General features: G+C 37.9%; 1 protein-coding gene across 37 annotated transcripts in view, besides 1 other annotated feature; it reads right to left on the bottom strand.

Moving 5' to 3' along the window:
- Positions 1 to 22,291, bottom strand: part of CNTN4 (contactin 4) — a 959,094-nt gene that overhangs the window by 399,005 nt on the left and 537,798 nt on the right. Inside the window, exon 1 of one of the 37 annotated variants that reach the window (XM_011533431.3) lies at positions 2,368 to 5,609. The exons of the other annotated variants lie outside the window; for them this stretch is intronic. Coding sequence (XP_011531733.1) covers positions 2,368 to 2,389 — 22 coding nt within the window. The 5' untranslated portion in view covers positions 2,390 to 5,609. Of the gene's footprint in view, positions 1 to 2,367; positions 5,610 to 22,291 lie in introns of those variants that run through there. 37 annotated transcript variants of the gene reach the window in all.
- Positions 3,390 to 3,609: an enhancer, noted in NCBI's record as "active region_19336". NCBI's record gives its function as "activates an Ori minimal core promoter by ATAC-STARR-seq in GM12878 lymphoblastoid cells {active_cell/tissue: GM12878}" and the evidence as "EXISTENCE:reporter gene assay evidence [ECO:0000049][PMID:35858748]".

Raw genomic sequence — 22,291 nt, 5'->3', positions numbered from 1 at the left:
TGTGGGTGTGTTATTTGCATGTCCACATAAAAAAATGCAAGTAGGTATTTATTCTTATGGATTCATGATTTGCAGCTTATCCCTTTCTGGACCTAGAACCTTGAACATGCTCTATTGGAGATAGAGTGAGCTTCATTATAAAAAAAGGCTTGAAACTAAGACCCAGTAAATCAGGCCTGGGCAAGTCACTCCACCTCTCTAAGTCTCACTTACTTCAGATAAAATGTGAATACTACTACTCACTTCCCAGATTATGAGCTAATATTAAACAAAATAGACATTCTGCTGCAAATGTCCAAAAGGAATAAAGGATGGTACAAATGCTCATGGTTTGGGTATTTAAGGAAATGGGAAGGATGATTCTTCACAAATATGAAGTGAGATCCTAAGGTAACAACACAACATAGATGGAACAGACTTTAAATTTATTTGTGTGAATTTCAGTAAATCGTATTACCTCTGTGTGCTTTACTTTTCCGTCTTTGACAAATGAGAGTGTCCATGGTACCTGCCTTCATAGTCATGTGATGTAAGTATTGCAGGACTTTTCCTTAGCTCAGCTAATGATGGGGTCCTTGTCTGTCCCATGGCCATGAAAATTTAGGCTCACAGACGGTTTGAAGTGTGAGTAAGACAGGGTTTTATTGGGTGAAAGGAAGAAAAAAGGAAAACAGGGACTCTTGCTGGGCCAGAGTCCCTGACAGAGCACTTCCCACCCTGCCGAATCCCAGGTTCCACACAGGAAGAGGAGCAGCCAGGCTCCTCCCCGCTGCAAAAGGTGCGAACTTCCTGTGGGTCCACCCCAGGGCACAGGCTGGCTGGAGTTTTGCCAGGTACCCCCTCCGACCTGGCTGTCTCATAAGCACAGCATTAAATGAAATAACACATCTAGTTCACTTCGCACAGTATCTAGTATGTCATTCATAAAACATAGCTATTTACTATTATAATCCTTTCCTCTGTATGGGCAACTCATCCTCATGGCTTCAGTTACCACCTGATACATTCTATTCAGGTGTCAGAACAAGCCGGAATAATTTGTCAGTGTTATCTGTCAATGATATGGAAGGTACAGTGTGGCTGATGATTTTGAGGGTTTTATTTCATATGCCCCCACTGAAATTAAGAAAGTCACTGGTCAAAAAGAGGTTAAGAAATCTTTCTTATAAACATATATATTTTTTCTCTAGAACGATTTGCATTAGAAAACAGTAACTGCAATATGCCATTTTGAATATCTATCTCTACCCAAACCACAGAGCCATAAACATACACATCCGATGCATGACTCACCCATCTGAGAAACTGCGCATACGCACCCCATGCTAGCTAAATACGTAGGTTTACAGAATGCATATTTAGAAAAAACTAATTTACTTCCTGTGCTCCCTGTAGTCCCATCTTGTTTTCATGCAGCTGATCCAACTTTCAATTCACAAACGCAAAACCTCCTTAGAACCAAAATAAATACTAATCTTAAATTCAATGTACCCTGACAGCAAATAAGTTTGCTGTGCTTACTTCAGCATGAATAAAAAGCCCACAAGGAGACTCCTACATAAGAGTATATTTACAAGTTCCATTACCCACTGGAGAGATTGATGTAATAAACCTATAATAAAAAGCCTCATGTTACAGATTTCTCTAATGTTTCTTATCAAACAGTCTGTATTATCTTGGCTTGTGTATTCAATGTAAAATAGGTTTCCAATAAGTGCCTCGAAGCTAGAGGTCATTTTTATTTAGTTTTCTGACATGTAGGAATGTTTACAAAGACACTTTCTACCCTTAGAATTGGAAAAATATGCTTGTCCGGTCAAGTACTTCATGACATTAACCTACGTATTTATTTTGAGTTTTTAACAGTTTTCCAAGCTGTAACAGTTGGCTGTCCCATTGCATAATTTATTTTTATTGCCAAGTAGGAGTGGGTGAACTGTTCCAGATCACATCAAAACACCACTGTAATCTTAAACTATTTTTCATTATGTATAGGTTTTTCAGAGAGCTTACTCATTTGAGTTTGAAAATATCTGACCAGAACTCCCAATGAGCTATTCTCCTGAACTCTGAGGCAAACCACTTAGATGAAACTGGCAGTCCTTCCACCACAGGAAAAGGAAGACAGCTGATAAGGTACGAATAGAATACTTGAACAGATACCGACATTGGGGTCTAAAGACCACCTCCAAGTTCCAGTTGCTGCTGACTCATACACATCTGAAGAAAGATTTTTGTACATAAGCTAGTACTGCATACACATTCAGAAAATTAATTAGCTTAGACCTCCCTTTTGAGACTTGACCTCTCAATAATTTATTGTCACATTATAATTGTCACAATGTATTCATTCATTAATTCACTCACCAAATGTTAAGTTAGTCCGCATTATGCTCCAGGGACTGTACTAGAGCTTGGGATTCAAACAGAGAACAGACATAGTTGCTGTCTTCATGGAATTTACAATGTACTGGGAGAAAACAGACATCAATCAGTCATAAAAACAAATCTTTGATTACAGTTGGTGAAACATGCTCTAAAGAGAACCAGATAGGGGATCTGATGATACTTCTGGGCAATTTAATCTGGGATTATAAACATAACTGCTTTTTGCATGGGCAGAAGTAGTTATAATCCTTAGACTACATTTTTACCTTCTTATCCATTTGAATTTACTCTGAATTTCTTGGACTTTGAGTAAATTTTTCTCTCTTGGAAATATTATATGTACCTTCATTTACTATCATGCAGCGAAATGAGATTACATCTGTCCTTCCTTCCTGATAACTTTGACTTATAATTATTCTCTTTTAATTGTTTTAAAAATTCCCTAGGATGCATGGTGCTACTCTTCAACATTCTCGCCAAATACGGTTACAATTCTAATGCCTCGAGGACAATAAAACATTCTTATCTTTTCCATTCCAGAAAGTCCATTTTATTTTTGAGATATCTCTAATTATCAGAAAGCAAATCCGAAATCCAAGGTAGAAAGTATCTTTAGTTTTCACCATTTTTTCAAGTTCTATTGCAAACAAATCAGCTTCCTCCTCCATGTGATGGGCATTCAGATATTTGCAAGTTAAAAACCCAGTGGGATTATCCTGAAAGAAAGTCAAAACAGTCTTGGTAATCCCGCAGTGATTTCCATGTTTGTTTCATTAGCATCTTCTGGCAAAGAGGCACTAGGCTACTACTAGATGTCAAAATATTCATGTTCCGTCATTTCAAATAGCTCTGGCAATGTGCAATGCTTTAAGTTATTATGACTCCCTTTTCTGCATTATAGAGAAGTCAGGTATGTCACTATAATGTTGTACTTTCAGATGACTCAATGACTTATTCTGGAAACAGCTATTATTTTGCATGGCCAGTCCCTGCCAACTGCCCTGCATGCTAGAATACAGGCAGAGCAGGAAACAGAAACAGAGAAGAGACCACTAGATGAATGAGAGATAATGCTGCAGTACAGTAAACCGAAATCAAGACCCTTAATTCAACTTTTATGAGAACAGCAGAGAAACTTTCACTATCAATCTCATTCTGACAAAGGTGAAGGGCATACAGAACCAAGGAGGCAGCTTGTCATTAAAAATGTTAAAAATAGAAAGCCTCACATACATACTGAGTGATGCAATAGTGCACACAAATTCTTTAACAGACAAGACTTCTCTTTGCAGTTACAGTTATTAATCTCCCAAGTCTAACATTCCTGAACTTTCTTCAGAGTTAATGATTCAAAAGGCAACATAGGCTCCTTATTAAGATTCTGTATCACACTGGAGGGAGGAGGAATAAAACAAACATATTTTCTAAATTCCTTGAAATATCAGGATTTATATCACTTATAGGGTGGGACCCTTCAGAGAATAAGTGACTCTACGTGGCTGCACCTTAGAGAGACAAAAAATTTCCTCATAAACAATTATTTGGGGAATAAATTTTTTAAAAATCCATCTGACATTCAGAGTGAGATGCTACCTGGATTCAGAAAGTTCTATACATTCTGAAGTGTTTGGCTGCATGTAAGATGTCAAGGAGTCAAATTCCTTCCCTGTGTTATCTGGGGCATACTAGCTAGTGCCACGCAGAAGATAAGAAGAAGAAGCAAAGAAGCTGCTATGACCCAGACCTTCCAGGAAGGCCTGCAGATTCCTATTTGTTCTTACAATGTGCAATCCAGGACTCCTAACTGTATTTGCTAGGGTAAGAAAGGACTGGGGGGAAAAAACAGGCCCAAAGGGAAGCAGCATATAATATTAATCCACACTCTTCCCAAACCTTCCTTTTCTTTTCTAAACAAAGATACATTCTTCAAATACATACTGTGAGCAGGGCTGAATGCTTGTGGACTGACCTGACTAGGCTTTGAGAAAGAATAACACCATTTTTACTCATTCCCGGAATTAATACCCTTGGGTTGGCCTTATTAAGTGTTGGAGAAAAGAGAGAAACACGGTATATAAAAGCATGAGAAAAAAGGATTGTATCTTAGGATTACAAAGCACATAATTAAACTCAAATGTCTGGGCTTTTTCAATACCCATGATTACAAACAGTATAATTTTGAAAGTAGCACAATAATTAAAATGATAACATTCCCTTTTAGGCCCTTGAGATCTGTATAGTTTTCAGAGACTTCTAATTTTGAGGGGATTTTCTTAGACAGTATTCTCAACAAACAACAAAGAGGCTGGCCATGGAAAGAAACAACTGGCCATTGCCAAGGTGGTCAAAAAAACTCTTTTTTTCAATGGTATTTCCAGACCCCACTTGAATTCCTATAGCTCAGCTTTGGAGTAGAAGGAGTAAATAAAGCTCATCCCCTGAAGGGAAACACAGCAATTGCTTTCAAAAAGCAAAGCATGGAATTGGGTAAATTAGCAACTGTAAGCTCTATCATCACTTAAGTTTTGTCTACCAAGGGCAACAAAACAAAGAATTAACAACAATAAAACAACCAAAAACTTCCACTTCCCTGTAACTGTTTACAGTCCCAAACTTACTGTTTTCTAGCTGCTAGTTGGCCTTATGGAACCACTTATAACTCAAAACCACAAATCACATAAATCAAAAACACATCCTGGGTTTGGTAGAGACGAACTGGTCACTTGATCCTAACAGAAGAGAAAGCTGCAAAACAATTAGAAATTCATTCATTTAGTGTCCATTCTGGGTAAGATTTTTGAGTAGTCACTGAAGAAAAATAAAGGAAATATAAAGGAAAGAAGACTATCTTCTTGTTATCCAAACCCTCACACAGATAGAAGCAATACAAAAAGAGATGGGGAGACTAACAAAGGTTGAAGGCAGAGGTTTTAGAGAGAAAATAGGAGAAAGAAGAGTATTTCTGACTAAAATGACTAGATCTACATCAGTGAAAAGACCAATCTTTAGTTGACTTAATGTCAGGGATTTGAAACTATATTATTTGGTAAGTCAATTACTACCCTTGTGATCTTAGATACCTTACTTATTTCTCCTTTCTGAATGTCAGTTTCCTCATTTGACAATTCTCTTAAGGTATTTCTCTATGAACCCAAAATCTAAATATTTGGAAAAGAGCTCAATCTACAGCTCTGGTTAATGTACCAGTTGCTCAACTGGTAGACAACATCAAATGAACAATTACTTAAGAAACTAGTAGTTTAAAAGAGAATTTAAAACTTATTTATTGAGTTTTAAAGCAGTATGTTGAAATGTAATATAACTTAATGATTAATAAAAATAAAAAAAGTCCTTGCTTTTTTTACAATTTTTAAAAATTGTGGAGATTTACAATTTTTAAAAAAGCTTTCACATGTATTAACGCGTATGTTTTAAAATTCCCCCTTTAAAAATGATAGAGAACTGATTTATAAGCCACACAAAAAAATTAGCTTCATTAATTTATAGTCACAATTCATTTTTGACCAAAAAACAGTATTACCCAGCATGAACACCAACATTTACCATGAAATGGCTCTGAACAAGTTTCTAAATATGGAAAGCTTAGCTGTTGCCAAAAATGAAATCTAACTTCAAAGGACAAGGATTTACAAGCACTTGAAATATTCAGAGGAATAAAATAGGAGCCGTAAAGAAAATTCCAAAAGAAAAGATCCATAAGTATTTTAAACAACAGCTTAAATGTGATTGATAAGTGACCACACTGATAAGCGACCACACGTCTACGATGGAGAATACATTCACACACGAGATCCACTCTGCACTATAAAAAATCACATACCATACTAAGGCAAGGATTCCACTGAGACCTGTACTACTACTTCCTTGCTTCTCTCATCTCATTGGACAAGTCCCTGTGCTCTGGGCCCCTGCTGAGTTTTCTTTGTTATTCCTGTGTGCCTAGAAACATTGGCACCTTCTCTAGGAAGTCTTTTCTCTCTTCTCTCCCTGTCACATTCCATCTACCTCACAGACCCAGTGGGCTTTGGATTCAGTTTCAATGCCATGCCCCACAGCAGCTGCACAGCAGTCCCCTTTCATTATCTGCTGAACACTTACTGTATTTTGGGAGAGAGGTGTCTGTTTAGATTAGCAGATCCATAAGGATAGTAGTTGAAATAATAAGACTATTAGACCACTTTCCACTGGTACTACATAAATTACTAGTACTTATTTAGGCACTTTCTAAGTATCTGTTTTGTAAGTGAATGTGTAATTGGGATGAGGTTTTTATTTCCCTTCTGTTCCCAAATTTCTTGGTGTGTTATTGTGTTTGTCTGTTTCAGAGACAGGGTCTTGCTCTGTTGCCCAGGCTGCAGTGCAGTGGTGTAATCATAGTTCACTACAACCTTGACCTTGTGAGCTCAAGCAATCCTCCTGCCTCAGCAATCGAAAAATGTTGGTAGGAGCTCAAGCAATCCTCCTACCAAGTTGCTAGAACTGGATGCATGAACCGCCATACCTGGCTATTTAAAAAAAAAAAAACAACACCTTTTTTTTGGCCAGGTGCGGTGGGTCACACCTATAATCCCAGCACTTTGGAAGGCCAAGGCGGGTGGATCACCTGAGGTCAGGAGTTTGAGATCAGCCTGGCCAACATGGTGAAACCCCATCTTTACTAAAAAAAATGCAAAAGTTAGCCAGGAGTGGTGGCAGGTGCCTGTAATCCCAGCTACTCGAGAGTAAGAAGTAGGGAAAATTGCTTGAACCAGGGAGGTGGAGGTTGCAGTGAGCCAAGATAGCACCACTGCCCTCTAGCCTGGGCAACAGAGTGAGACTCCGTCTCAAAAAAAAAAAAGAAAAAAAAGAAAAAAAATTGTAGAGATGGAGGTCTCCCTACGTTGCCTAGGCTGGTTTCAAACTCCTGGGCTCAAGCGATCTTCCTGGCTCAGTCTCCCAAAGTGCTGGGAGTACAGGTATGAGCCACCGTGCCTGGCCCTTGGTAATTTTGATAATGCTACTCAATCAAAGGAAGAGCTAGACTTTTTTCAGTGTAACACCCAGATTATATGCTAAGAGGAGGCCATTCCTAGAAAAGTGAAAAGGGTGCTTGTCTTGTAGGTTCCATGAGAATCTGATCGAACCAAATGACTGACTACCTATGTGGTGTCCTTGGTGAACTGACACTATTTTTGGGAGAAGGAGAGAATAAAGGCATTAAAGAGACCCACAGATTGAAAATACAAAGGGATCATCGGGAGCACAAAGGAAGCAAGAGGATCCTAAGGGAATATTTTTTTCTACCCTGCTTGTCCCTTCACTGCAAGGAAAGAGGCTCAAAAAGATGAGATCAAAGGAGGTGGTGAAAGAATGGAGCTGTTAAATAGACTGCAATGGCCACTCTTGAATCTTTACCCTGGTAGGTCCACCATGTCTTAGAAGGCATCAGAAAGGAAAAGACCGTAACAGTCTTTTTGACATATAAACTTGTTCACTCAATGTCTGCTAGTAAAAGATGTTAATATCCTTGCGTTCCATAGTAAAGAGTCTATAACCTTTATAACAGGATTGTAAATGAATTAGATGTTCTTTAAGATACCTCCAGCCTATGAAATTTCATACATTCATAGTCTTATCTATACAGATATATCTTAAGCTCAGTTCCAGACCAGTGCAATAAAACAAATACTGCAATAAAATGAGCCACGCAAGTTTTTTGGTTTTCCATTGCATACAAGAGTCATGTTTACACTATACTGCAGTTTAATAAGTGTACAATAGCATTATGTCTAAAAAACACAATGTACATAACTTAAAATAATTTATTGTTAAAAATGCTAATGATTATCTGAGCCTTCAGCAAGTTGTTATCTTTTTGAAGGGGGAGAGTCTTCCCTCGATTAAGATGGCTGCTGACTGATCAGGGTGGATGTTGCTGAAGGCTGGGGTGGCTGTGGCCATTTCTTAAAATAAGACAACATTGAAGTTTGCTGCATTGATTGAGTCTTCCGTTCATGACAGACTTCCTCAGCAGGTAATGCTGGGATTTTATCCGCAGTAGGAATTCTTTTCAAACTGAAGCCAATCCTCTCAAACTCCACCACTGCTTTATCCACTAAGTTTACATAATATTCTCTTTTGTTGTCATTTCAACAATTTGCACAATCTTTACCAAGAATAGATTCCATCTCAAGAAACCATGTTATTTGCTTATCTATAAGAAGCAACTCCTCATCCATTCAAGTTTTATCATGATGGCAGCGATTCAATCACTTCTCTCTCTGGGCTCCACTTCTAACTCTTGTTCTCTTGCTATTTCCACCACATCTGCAGTTGCTTCCTCCATTGAAAGCTTTAAGCCCCTCAAAGTCATCCGTGAGGGTTGGAATCAATTTCCAAAATCCTGGTAAGGTTGATATTTTGACCTCTTTTCATGAATTATAAATTTCCTTCCTTCCTTTTCCCTTCCCTTTTATATATATATATATATTTATAAAAATACATATTTTATACATATAATATGAATTTATATTATATATATTTATAAATATATATATTTATATGTAAAATATCTATCTATAGATAGATATATTTGTATTTTTAGTAGACAGGGTTTCACCATGTTGGTCAGGCTGGTCTCAAATTCCTTGCCTCAAGTGATCCGCCTGCCTCAGCCTCTCAAAGTGCTAGTATTACAGGTATGAGCCACCGTGCCCAGCCACAAATTTTCTTAATGGCATCTGGGATGGTGAATCCTTTCTAGAAGAGTTTCAATTTACTTTGCCGAGATCCATCAGAGAAGTCACTATGTATGGCAGCTATAACCTTATAAAATGCATTTCTTAAATAAGACTTGAAAGTCAAAATGACTCCTGATCCATTGGCTGCAGATTCGATGTTGTGTTAGCTGGAAGGGTAACAATATACATCTCCTAATATATCTCCATCAGAGCTCTTAGGTGACAAGGTGCATTGTCAAACACAAGTAATATTTTGAAAGGAATCTTTTTTTCTGAGCAGTAGGTCTCAACAGTGGGCAGAAAATATTCAGCAAACCATGTTGTAAACAGATGTACTGTTATCCAGGCTTTGTTGTTCCATAAAAGAACACAGGCAGAGTAGATCTGGCATGATTCATAAGGGTCCTAAGACTTTCAGGATGGTCAATGAACACTGTCTTCAACTTAAAGTCACCAGCTGTATTAACCCCTAACAAGAAAGTAAGCCCGTCCTTTGAAGTTTTGAAGCCAGGCATTGACTTGTCCTCTCTACTTATCAAAGTCCTGGATGGCATCTTCTTCCAACATAAGGCTGTTTATCTACATTTAAAATCTGTTTTTTAGGGTAGCCACCTTTATTAATTATCTTAGCTAGATCTGGAAAACTTGCTGCAGTTTCTATATCAGCATTTGTTTCTACACCTTGCACTTTTATGTTAAGGAGGTGGCATCTCTTTCCTTAAATCTCATGAAGCAACCTCTGCTAGCTTCCACCTTCTTTTCTGCAGCTTCCAGGCCTCTTTCAGCCTTCACAGAATTGAAGAGAATTAGGGCCTTGCTTTGGATTAGGCTTTCGCTTAAGAGAATGTTGAATGTTGCGGCTGGTGTGATCTTCTATCCAGACTACTCAAACTTTGCCATATCAGCAATAAGACTGTATTAATTTCTTATTCATGCGTTGCCTGAAGTTGCACTTTTAATTTCCTTCAAGAATTTTTCCTTTGCATTCATAACTTAGCCAACCATTTGGCGCAAGAGGCATAGCTTTCAGCCTGTCTTGGCTTTCACCATGCCTTCCTCATTAAGGTCAATTCCTTCTAGTTTTTTATTCAAAGTGAAAGATGTACGCTTCTTCCTCTCATTTGAACACTTAGGGGCCACGGTGGGGTTAGTAATTGGCCTAATTTCAATATTGTTGTTTCTTAGGGAAAAGGGAGGCCCCAGGAGAAGGGAGAGAGATGGGGGAGAGGCCAGCCAGTGGGGCAGCCAGAGTACAACATTGATCGATTAAGTTCTTCGTCTTATATGGGTGCGGTTCATGGTATCCCAAAACAGTTACAATGGTCACATCAATGATCACAGATCACTATAACAGATATAATAGTAAGAATAAACTTTGAACTATTGTGACAATTACAAAAATGTGACACTGAGATACAAAGTAAGCACATGCTGTTGGGAAAATGGTGGCAGTAGACTTGCTCGATGCAGTGTTGGCACAAACCTTCAGTTTGCAAAAAAAACTCAAAATCTGTGAAGTGCAATAAAGCAAAGCACAATAACACAAGGCATGCCAGTAATAGGATGCTCATTTCCCAGACTGAAATGATGAAGAAGCTGGTAAAGTTTTTCAAATATCTGCAGGCTATCTGAAAATTACACAAAGGATACTGGCATTCCAAATAAAGTAAGTGTCATTAAGATAATGTTTAGATGGTGGTTCTGAAGGCAAAGTGGCATTTTGACAGGAAAAAAAAATCTTCAGAGCGTTTTCTTTGCAGTTGTTATATACACTCAGTGATGACTGGGAAGGATTTGTATTTTAAAATGGGTATGCAGCAGAACATAGCAATTTGCATAAGCGTCAACTGCAAATTACAGTTATCTTCAAATCCAGAAAGAAACTTATATCTAATTGTAAACATATTGGTTTAACAACAAAGTAAATGTCTCTCCTAAAGTGACCACTAAAGCCATTTAATATTAGTAACTGTAAACTAACAATGACCATAAAATAGAAAATGGAATTAAGATTGCCTTTTCAGTAAGCAGAGACAGCTGGTATCTCTACAGCAATTTAGAATTTACAAAATTCTTTTCCCTATCCTGTCTTAGTTTGCATCTGTTTGTGAGGAAATATGTCCCCTTTTACAGATAAGTAAAAGGAGGTCTCATGGAGGTAAAATCACTTGCCTGAGTTTAGGTAATTTGTATGTGTATATTTATACAACAAACAACAAATATGAGGTGTAAGCCTAGGTCTCTGGAATAGAGACCTAATATAAATGTTATGACATTTCTATTACATGAATCTGATGCACAGGCTATAAAAATCTGAGGGGAGAAAATAAAAGTATAGCTTTGAAAGCATGGCTGTAGCTGCAGAAAATGGGCCAAGACCTTGAGATAAGGCATAGGTTACTTATGCTATTTATTTATTTATTTATTTATTTATTTATTTATTTATGAGATGAGTTTCGCTCTCGTTGCCCAGGCTGGAGTGCAATGGTGTAATCTCGGCTCACTGCAACCTCTGCCTCCCAGGTTCAAGCGATTCTCTTGCCTCAGCCTCCTGAGTAGCTGGGATTACAGGCGTCCACAACCATGCCTGGCTAATTTTTGTATTTTTAGTAGGGACGGGGTCTCACCATGTTGGCCAGGCTGATCTCGAACTCCTGACCTCGGGTGATCCGCCCACCCTGGCTTCCCAAAGTGCTGGGGTTACAGGTGTGAGCCACCGTGCCTGGCCTTGCTTTTTAAATACCTTAAGTACACAGATATGCTTACATTTAATATCAGTTCTGAAAACAGAGCTTCAGGGTCTCTACCAGATATAAGGGAAATTCAACCTTGGCATTATGAGCTAAATTATGTTTCCCCAAATTTCATGCTGAAGCCCTAACCCCTGGTACCTTAGAATGTGACTGTATTTGGACACAGGGCCTTTTAAGAGGTAATTAAGTTAAATGAAACCTTAGGGTGGTCTTTAACCCAATCTGACTGCTGTCCTTATAAGAAGAGGAAATTTGGATACAGTCAGAGGAAAGGCCATGTGAGGATACAGGGAGAAGGTGATCATCTGAAAACCAGGGAGAGAGTCCTCAGGAACAATCTAAACTTCTGAAGCCTTGATCTTGGACTTCTAGCTTTTAGAACTATGAAAAAATTAATTCCTGTTGTTTAAGCTACACAGTCAGTGGTACTTTGTTAAGGTAGTCCTAAAACACTCTTACACTTACTAATAGATAACAATAAAGAAACTCTGATATGGGTGCCTATTCTTTCAACATGGTAACAATGATAGCCATGGTTAACATTCATTGAGTGCTTACTATGCACCAGGGAATAGTCTGAGGGTATGTATTAACCCCTTCAATTCTGACCACGATTATACGAGGTAAAAATACTTTTTATTATTCCCGAATTACACACGAAGAAACTAAGGCATAGAGAGACTAAATAATTTGCACAAAATGCTTAGCCAATATTTGAATCTAAAGTCTGGTAATGAAAATGGCCACTAACAAACATTCACTGAACTTAATAAAAATACTATGAAGTCCTAGAAATTGAATATTCATTTTGATTGATAGTGTTTATATATGTTTATTACAGACCAGATACCATGTCTGACTGAACATCTTCTATTGTTGGATCCACACTAGTAGATACTTTTATATGTTATGCCATGTGAAATTAGTCATTCTAGAAAGGCACATATTTTTCTCTTTTGGTTTTAAGGATGAGGACACTGACTCTTAGATAGACAAAATCGGTTTCCCAATATCAGAAGTGGCAAAAGAAACAAACAAATACTAAGCTCTGGTGTATCTGAATCCAAAAAGAATAATATTTGTCTACAGTATATATATTCCCACTGTGTTAAACAACAATAGTTGAAGTGATACAGTTGAAGAATAAATATAAATTATTTGGGAACAGATTTCATTTCTGTGCATGTATGTCTCAGTGTTTAAACATACTCAAAGCATGAAAGGTCAGAGGGTGAAAACAGAACCTGAGTTTTCCTTGTTTTGAATATTATTGGGTATTGAGGCAAGGACTAGCTTTCTACCATCCATTAACCTCTTCATCATGAACAAAGAGTGAACCTCAAGTGTGATATTTGGCTAAGGGCACTTTTAAGTAAAATCTTTCACATATTCCCAGTAGATTTTGTAAAGAATGCTGGGGACCAATTTTTAAATGCAACATCTTGAACAAATTACAGCAAAGAAAATTTTGAGGCCTTTATAATTTAAGTGTTATTTTTACTACTAATGTGAATTCAACCCTAGCAAATTAAAACAGGAAGAATTAATTGGATATGCAAATGAGATTATTCAGTATATAAATCTAATTACATACCAATTTGCTTTAACAGCATGAAAAAAGAATAAATTGTTCTATGTAAATTGATTGTCTTAAATAACCACCTGTAGCCCAGCAAAAATTGTCTTGGAAAAGCTATATTGTAAGTGCAGACGTCTAAGTTAATAACATCATGTTCTTCACAGATCTTGTCAGAAGAACCTCTTTACAATGAAATTTGCTTATACTCCTGATGTACAATAAGGTATTATCAGGTTTCTAGAACATAAGGAAATAATGTCACTAACTGGCTTTTTTTTTCCCCAGAGCACAATAGATTGATAAGACATGTTGATTTCTGAAACACTTAATGCTTTCACACAGACTAGACTTGAAGCCTGAGCAATTTTCATGTCTGAAAAATAAGAGAAAGAGATAGGTAAGGTGTGCCAGTCTTCGTTAATTTGGCTGTAGCTCTCCAATCAATTTAATCAAATGCTTTTGGTACAATCAAGCAATGCTCCTCCACACCCATCTTTAAATTTTTTTTCTTTGCCACTTAGTTTAGGCAAATGAGTTTTGAATATTTAACTGGGAAAGGAGGCATTAATTCATGAAGCCTGTGTCTTGGGAACAAGCAGAATAATACTAGATGTTTGCAGAATACAAGACAAGGGGTTAGTTGCTTTTCTTGACATCAGTTAGAGTCACTGCGTTTATCTCTAGATGCAACCCTAACATACACTTCAAACAGATATATTAATCTAGTATGCTCAGGGTTAGCCACAAAAAGCCTGCGCCCATTTTCAGTGATTCTTGGTCAGAGAGCCCAAATGTCCTAGTTTCTGTGACTCCTCTATAGACAGACCCTATAGGGCATGGTGAGTCTAATCCATGGACTCACTTAGGAAATCCAGTTCTTCTATAGTCTTGTGCTCTCAGGTTTAGATAGAGGTATTTTGCAGAAAAAAGGAAGGATAAAGTATACATCTGAATTGAGTGATGGATAGACAGGCAGAGAGATACAGGGTAAAGCATGGCAAGATAGATATCATCTCCCTTTTCCCTCAGCATTCATTCTTGGCTCTGAGACTCAAGAGAGTTTCTGAAAGGAGCTCATGGTGAAAGATGGTAAAAGTGTTAGAAACCTAGATGTATGGAGCTTCTGATAATGAAGCCTATGGGCAATTTATCCAAAAGAAATGTTTCTTCTACTTTATTATGAGAGCAAGTGTCACTAGACCCATTCTGAGACTCTAAAATAAAACTCGGCGATGGGAGTTGGTACTATTATTGAGAGCATCTATGACCAAGTTCCTTTCCCTTTGGAAGACCATTAGGACTTGCCTGTAGGGGCTTCCTTATCTGCCCTTCCCTACCTGGTTATTTAAGGAAGAACACACACTGGGGGGCAGGACATGGGGACAGATGCCCTGGCTCTGCGCTTGTGCTCTTAGGCAGTAGTAAATGGAATCATAAGGAGGAATGAGAGTTACTTACAGTGTCTTGGCATGAACCTGAAATCAACACCAGTCAGACTGTGGCCTTAATCTGAGTAAAATGGAAGACACGGTGGGGTGATCAGATACAAGGAGAAAATGCGTTTAAATCTGATGAGAGCAAATAAATTTGAATGAAAGGGAGGAAGCAGCTGCCAGAGAAGCTATGAAGCATAGCTCTGGCAGCTTTATATAGGGTGCCTGTGACCTCACATATAGGGAGTCAGGGAGCCTTTGAAAGAGAAACTAAAGCAATAGTGTGGTCTCAGTCTACTCTTTGTAATGTAGCTCCTAACATACAAAGCAGAATGGAGACTATCGCATCACCACTTTTATCTCCTTTATAGCTCCTATCACTATCTGAAAATATGCCACTGATGTTGGCTTGTTTATGTGTCTTCTCCACCTGAAAGGTAATCAGGGATTCCTTACCTGTATTTTTACTGCTATATCCTCAGCATCTCGCACAGTTTTGTTATTGTAGATCTATACATGCTCAGTAATGCAGAAGATGGACATGCACACAAGTCACTAGACTAGTGAACGTCGTTCAATAAGAGCTTTCCGGCTGGGCACTGTGGCTCAGGACTGTAACCCAGCACTTTGGGAGGCTGAGGCGGGTGGATCATTGAGGCCAGGAGTTCAAGACCAGCCTGGCCAACATGATGAAACTCCACCTCTACTAAAAATACAAAAATTAGCCAGGTGTGGTGGTGGGGACCTGTAGTTGCAGCCAGTCTGGAGGCTGAGGCATGAAAATTGCTTGAACATGGGAGGCAGAGGTTGCAGTGAGCTGAGATAGCACCACTGCACTCTAGTTTGGGAGACAGAGAGAGACTCCATCTCAAACAAACAAATAAACAAACAAAAAGCTTTCTAAGAGCAAATCACTATGAGATCACTTGAGAAGAGATTAATACATAGAGATAAAAGGGGCTCCATAGAGATGATAGAGTTTAGCGTGCATTGTTTAAGCCCTTCCTTTGTGGCAAGAGTTGTGTATAATGTTTTAAAAAGATTATTTCAATATAGCCTTACATCTGCCCTATGAGGTATATTTTATTACCATCCCCACTGCCCTGTAAAGGACACTGTGGTTTAGAATGGTTAGATCACTTGCATCAAATCACACAGCCTATCTGTTGGTAGATTTTGAATTGAGACCCAAACAATCAGAACAAAATATGCCCCCTGGGTCTTGAGGGGCAGACAAAGTTTCAACAAGTGGAGATGAGTGAGGAAGGAATAGCAGGAACAAAGACAGAAGGACAGAAAAATGTAAGTATCTATCTTTTAAGTGCAGAAATAAATATGTGTGTGATCAGTGAGCAGAGGGAGAGACATTAAGGAGGGGATTCATCAAATACAGGGAAGCTACACATATTAGATTTGGCTATAATACCAATATACACAAGAATGTATACATATACCTGTTTCTGTATACACATACCTGTATATGTGTACACACATATAAAAAACATGGTCAGGCAGGCAGGCAATGGCACTAAAGATGTGAGATAGTCTATATAATTTATGTGGTTTAATAGAGGAAGGAGAGTTTAATGGTTAATATTGGGTGTCAACTTGACTGGACTGAATGATGCAAAGTATTGTTCCTGGGTATGTCTGTGAGGGTGTTGCCAAAGGAGATTAACATTTGAGTCAGTGGACTGGGAACGGCAGACCCACCCTCAATCTGGGTGGGCACCATCTAATCAGCTGCCAGTGCAGCCGGAATAAAAGCAGGCAGAGTGTAGCAAGACTGAACGGGCTTAATCTCCCACCCTACATCTTTCTTCCATGCTGCATGCTTCCTGCCTTCAAACATTGTACTGCAAGTTCTACTCTTGGACCTTCAACCATAGACTGAAGGCTGCACTGTCGGCTTCCCTACTTTTGAGGTTTTGGGATTTGGACTGGCTTCCTTGCTCCGCAGCTTGCAGACAGCCTATTGCGGGACCTTATCTTGTGATCATGTGAGTTAGTGCTCCTTAATAAACTCTCATTTATACACACATCTATCCTATTAGTTCTGTCCCTCTAGAGAACCCTGACTAATACGGAGGATGTCTTCCCCAAGTTTTCATGAAATACTTTGAGATTCACCAAAGTTAAGGTGTGAAAGAAGTACAGACATAATTAAGTATATGATTCAATATGATGTAAAAATGGCTTGCAATCTGACTGGTTTTAAAAGTTGCATCTGTCAATACAGGCTATCATAGAATCCTAGTTTCTAAGCAATCTTCCTTTCTGGCATCAATCAGCTCTGGCAAAACAGCAAAGAACAAAATTTAAAAAATTCACCTCCATGATACCAAATTGCATTGTAATTCATTGTGCTGCAAAGCTTTGCCACAGTTTGGGGGGGATATTTAGAGTAATGATATATAACCAGGAATGTAGACTAGGGTCATTGTGAAGATGGTGCACAAACACATCCACTGAACAGACCATGTGAAGCAGTTGACAATAAGACAGAAAATGTTGGGAGTGGGAGGGAATCAAGTTGATGAACTTGTCATTCTCCACTGGAGAATTTATTTGCATTTAGTTGACTTATAAGATTGCTTAAATGAGATATTTCCTACAGTTATGAGGAATAAAATAATGCAGATGTTTTAATGCAAAGGCTGATTTCTGGACAATTTAAGTGTTTCCTGCTTTCACGTCTACAAAAAATGTGAATAATATGTACTCCCTGGGAAGTTTCAACAGAATGTACACCAATCATTTCAAATCTATTTACAGATAAATTCAATACAGTTTTTTTTAATACTCACATGTCACACTGGAAGCACCTATAATAATTAATGGAGCAATTTGCAAAGGCCAAGCATATGACAGCATTTAATTCTATCCATCATTAAAATGTAATGCGTTTGGTGCATTTCTTTTTTAAAAAAACATACAGTTGAAGTTGTATATAGCATTAATTTTGAGGGTATTAAGTACACTGACTTTTAATGGGTGATCTGGCAGAATTTGTCTTAGTTCCATGCCAAGGCACAATTGAGAAATCAAGGAAAATCTTTATGACCTCCCTCCAATTTTTTTCTCTTCCTGTTAATCATCCTTATTCTCTTCCCCTCTTATCCTCTGTCCAGCACTCTGATACTGCCTCCTTCAGAGAGAAAAGTGACCTGACAAATGTGACACATTTAAAAAGAGGTATTGATGAGAACCTATAATCCTAGGAATAGCTGCATTGTTAGAAGGGACTCTCTGGTTCCAAAGTCAATCAGCTACAAAGGAATTATCACAGGAGTGGAAAATCTGTCATCAAGGCTTGAATAGTGATGTTAGTATTTCTGATCATAGACCTTCCTCATACAAAGTGTGTGTGTATGTGCACAGTGTGTGAAAGATATATGTGTGCATATATACACACACACATATACACACACTCACTAGATATTAAAGAGCTGTTCTTGTGTCCAGTTATTATCTCACAGTCACTGTTTAGCTTTGTAAGTGTTCCCACTACCCAATCATCCTTTTCTTAAAGAACTGCATCAGGTAACCACTGATTCTTTACTACATTTCCCCCCTTGTTTATCGTATTCTTTCCATCAATTCACCATTTCCTCAGTATATAATCCCTGGTAGACATATTTCTGTACAAAAACTGTGTGTCTGCTTTTGGTAGAAAGCCTTATTCCTTCCATGCTAACCCATAAACAGCCTTACAAAATCTCTGAATAAAGAAAAATATAAAAAGTGCTACAGTGTTAGAGTACAGTTTTTGATCTGTTGTTTCAACAGCAGTTTTCATGTATAATATGTTGGTGTTTGCTTTTGTTACTCAATTTAGACTCTTCAACTTGTCATACTTTACCACAATGTAATGAATTCTCCAACATTGCCATTTGAGAGCTTACAAAGCTTGCATGAAAAGCAAAGCAATGTCAGATTATTCTCTTACTCATTTCTAATCCTTTAGCCCCCAGCTACATCCCCTTTAAGCCAGACAAAAACAGAATTTGTTTTACATATAAATGTTGATGATTTTCACTGTACTTTTGGTTCATTGAATTCAATTAACTAAATTCTTTAAAACCCAAATGTGTATTATGTGCCTTTTTGACAGTTCTAGCCCTAGCACGGGGAAAGGGGGTGGAAGTCAGATAGCTTAGTTGTTCCTTAAGCTATTACAAAAAATATGTCCAAACAACCAGTCAATTCAGTCAAGCATTCAATCATTTGGCTTTATCTGTACAAGGCCAGATAGCTGGTGAGATTTTCTTTTCCCTTCTGTATTTCAACCTTTTATAGAAATAGCAGTAGTAACAAAACCCCAACTAAACAAAACACAAATGTGTTAAATATTTTCCAAATAAATTTATTTCAGACAAAGAAAAATTCATTCATTTAATAAATATGCATCGAGTACCTGCTGTGTGCCAGGCACTATTCTCAGGGAATAAAACAGAGATGCATGCCCTTGAAGAATTTATTAAACATATAATAAGCAAAATACATAGTGTGTTAGAAGTTTATAAATGTTACCAAAAAAAGAAAAAGTGGAACAGGGTAAGGGAGCTCCATGAATGTGGAGGGAAGTGCGTAAGATGCAGTAGGAAATAGGTGTTTAGAATAGCTTCATTAAGAAGGTGAGGTCTGAGCAAATTTTTGAGGAAGAGATGGAGTTGGGCAAGCACTGATCTGAGGGAGTAGTAGACCATAGCCTGATGGCAGGTGCAAGCCTGGCATGTTAACAGGTGGGGCAGGGCACCAGTGGAACTAGGACAGAATTAAATAGGAATAGAAGAAAATATCATAGAATAGAATTAGGAGGAGAGGAGTTAGATAGTTGAGGAGGGATGCAGTGCAGGTTATACATGACAGAGTAAGAGAAGGACTTTGGCTTTGCTCTGAGTAAAATGGAGAGTCAATGCAAGTTTTTGAAGAAAAAAAAGAATGTTGTGTTCTGGTTTACTTTTTAAAAGAATCACTCGGATAGCTGTGTTGAAAATACAGTGTAGGAGGAAAGGGGAAAAGCAGTGAGACCAAATTGTAAAATAGATTGTAGGGAGTAAAAGGCAGACCAATGAGGAGGGTATTTTAATATTCCAGAAGAAAGATGCTTGCTGGTGTCTCAGACCAGAATGGTAGCATGGAAGGTGGTGAGAACTAATAGTTGGGTTCTGAACATATGTTAAAGGTAAAGCCACATATTGGCTGAGGGACATGAGAGAAAGCAAACAAATTTAAAAGAATTTAAGGTTTTGGTCTGAGCAATGAAAAAGATGAAGTTGTCATTATCTGAAATGGGGACATGTGCAGGTGACACAGGTTTGGGGGAGAAAAAGAGGAGGTCAGGTCAACAAGTTGACTTCGAGATGCCTGTTAGTCATCACACTGTATATGTCTAGCTAAATGGTTTCATCAACGATATTAGTTTTCATATAAAGAAATTCACTCTGATACAGTTTTTGAGTTGTGAATAGAATTAAAATAGGTAAGTATCAAAGTTTATTGATTATTGCAGTTTTAAAAAAGCTAATGACATGTCTGAATGTGTGTCAGAAAGTAAAAAAAAAAAGATAAATGTTTCTTCATTACAGAAATCTTCAATTTGTAAACCGCAACTTTCTTTATAATACAAATAAAATTCGATTTACATTTTAAGGGCTTAAAGAGGTTTAAGGCATATTCACATCTTCCTGAAAGGGAAACCTTTTATTGCTACAGCTCTGTTGGGGACAGGGGCACAACACTGAATCACATGAAACCAGGAGTTTGAAGGTGAGGCTGGAAACAGAGAAAGGCTATTATCAAGGATCCAAAAGAGCACTAACAGGTTTAAAGAATCTGCACAGGGTCATGAATCTGAAGCCATGTGAGAATGGGCATTAAGGTAGAAGTTAATGGAAAAATTTTTCCAATAAGGTGGAAGTTAAAGTCAAGCAAGAGGAGAACAATAATTATCACTTGTTAAATTCCTATAAATTCCACCACTGTGGTTGGCAGTTTATACATGTAACTCATTAAAGACCTATCATTTATCTACCTCTATTGTAGAGGTACAATTTATAAATGAAGGAATTAGCAATTTGCCCATAGTTACAAGTTTAAAAGCAAAATAGATTCTGATTCCAGGTATGGGTTCCAAATTCTGGCTTTTTTAAAACTGCAAACCATGATCAAAGTTAGATTAGGCATTCGATGAAGAGTCAATCAAGGGAAGCGTCTGTAATCGGAAGTTAGAAATGTAGAAAATACATTTAGGCAAGGGTAGGCATGAGTATTAGATGACAGATCTAGAGGGACATCAGAGGTTAGGCAGATAACCCAATGTCACATGCGTGGTGACAACTATGGTAAAACATACAGGCTTTATAGGATTTATAGGAGTTGAATAAGCAGGGCAGTAATAATCAAGAGGATGAATTCAAATCCCAAGAGACACAGACAGCAGAGGTACCTTCAGAGCTCAGTGATGTTTCTTGTTGAGGCAGGGACCAATCACGGGGTGACATACTTGGGCCCCTGTATTGCACAACCTGAAGAACAGCAACTGAAGTGTGTGTACTCTGCTGGTTTCAGAGATAAGGCAAAGGAGGGCTCCTTTTGAAAGGAGGACTCTTCATCGAATGCCTAATCTAACTTTGATCATGGTTTGCAGTTTTAAAAAAGCCAGAATTTGGAAGCCATACCTGGAATCAGAATCCATTTTGCTTTTAAACTTGTAACTATGGGCAAATTGTTAATCCATTCACTTACAAATTGTACCTCTACAATTAGCTTATTTAAAAAAATGGTTTAAGCACCTTGTGTATGTAAAGAAAATGGAGGCCAGGTACGGTGGCTCAGGACTGTAATCCTAGCACTTTGAAAAGCCAAAGCAGGCAGATCACTTGAGCCCAGGAGCTCAAGAACAGCCTGGCTAACATGGTGAAACACTGTCTCTACTAAAAATATAAAAATTAGCCAGGCGTGGTGGTGCACACTTGTAGATCCAGCTACTAGGGAGGCTGAGTTGGGAGGATTACCTGAGCCCTCAAAGTCAAGGTTGCAGTGAGCTGAGATCATGCCACTCACCGCACTCCAGACTAGGTGACAGAGTGAGACGCTATCTCAAAAAAAAAAAAAAACCAAAAAAAAAAAAAACAAAGAAAGAAAGAAAGAGGAAAAGAAAATGGAAACTATGCACTATAATTACAAATAATTAAAAACTGATATAGAGATGTATATGAAAGGGTATTGTCAATTCTAAAGCCACTGCCTTTGAGATAGTTAATACTGTTTTGTCCTTCAGCAGCAAATACATTTAAATGACTAGAAAACACTCTTCATAAAATTTGATGCTTATAAAAATTTATCTACCTCTATTGGTAATTGGTGTTTGTAATTTTGTTTGGGTTTTATAAG

The sequence above is a fragment of the Homo sapiens genome, chromosome 3 (assembly GCF_000001405.40).
Source record: "Homo sapiens chromosome 3, GRCh38.p14 Primary Assembly".
Taxonomy (NCBI): domain Eukaryota; kingdom Metazoa; phylum Chordata; class Mammalia; order Primates; family Hominidae; genus Homo; species Homo sapiens.
The sequence above is the reverse complement of the archived record's forward strand: the minus strand, read 5'-3'. Positions and strand labels throughout refer to the sequence as shown.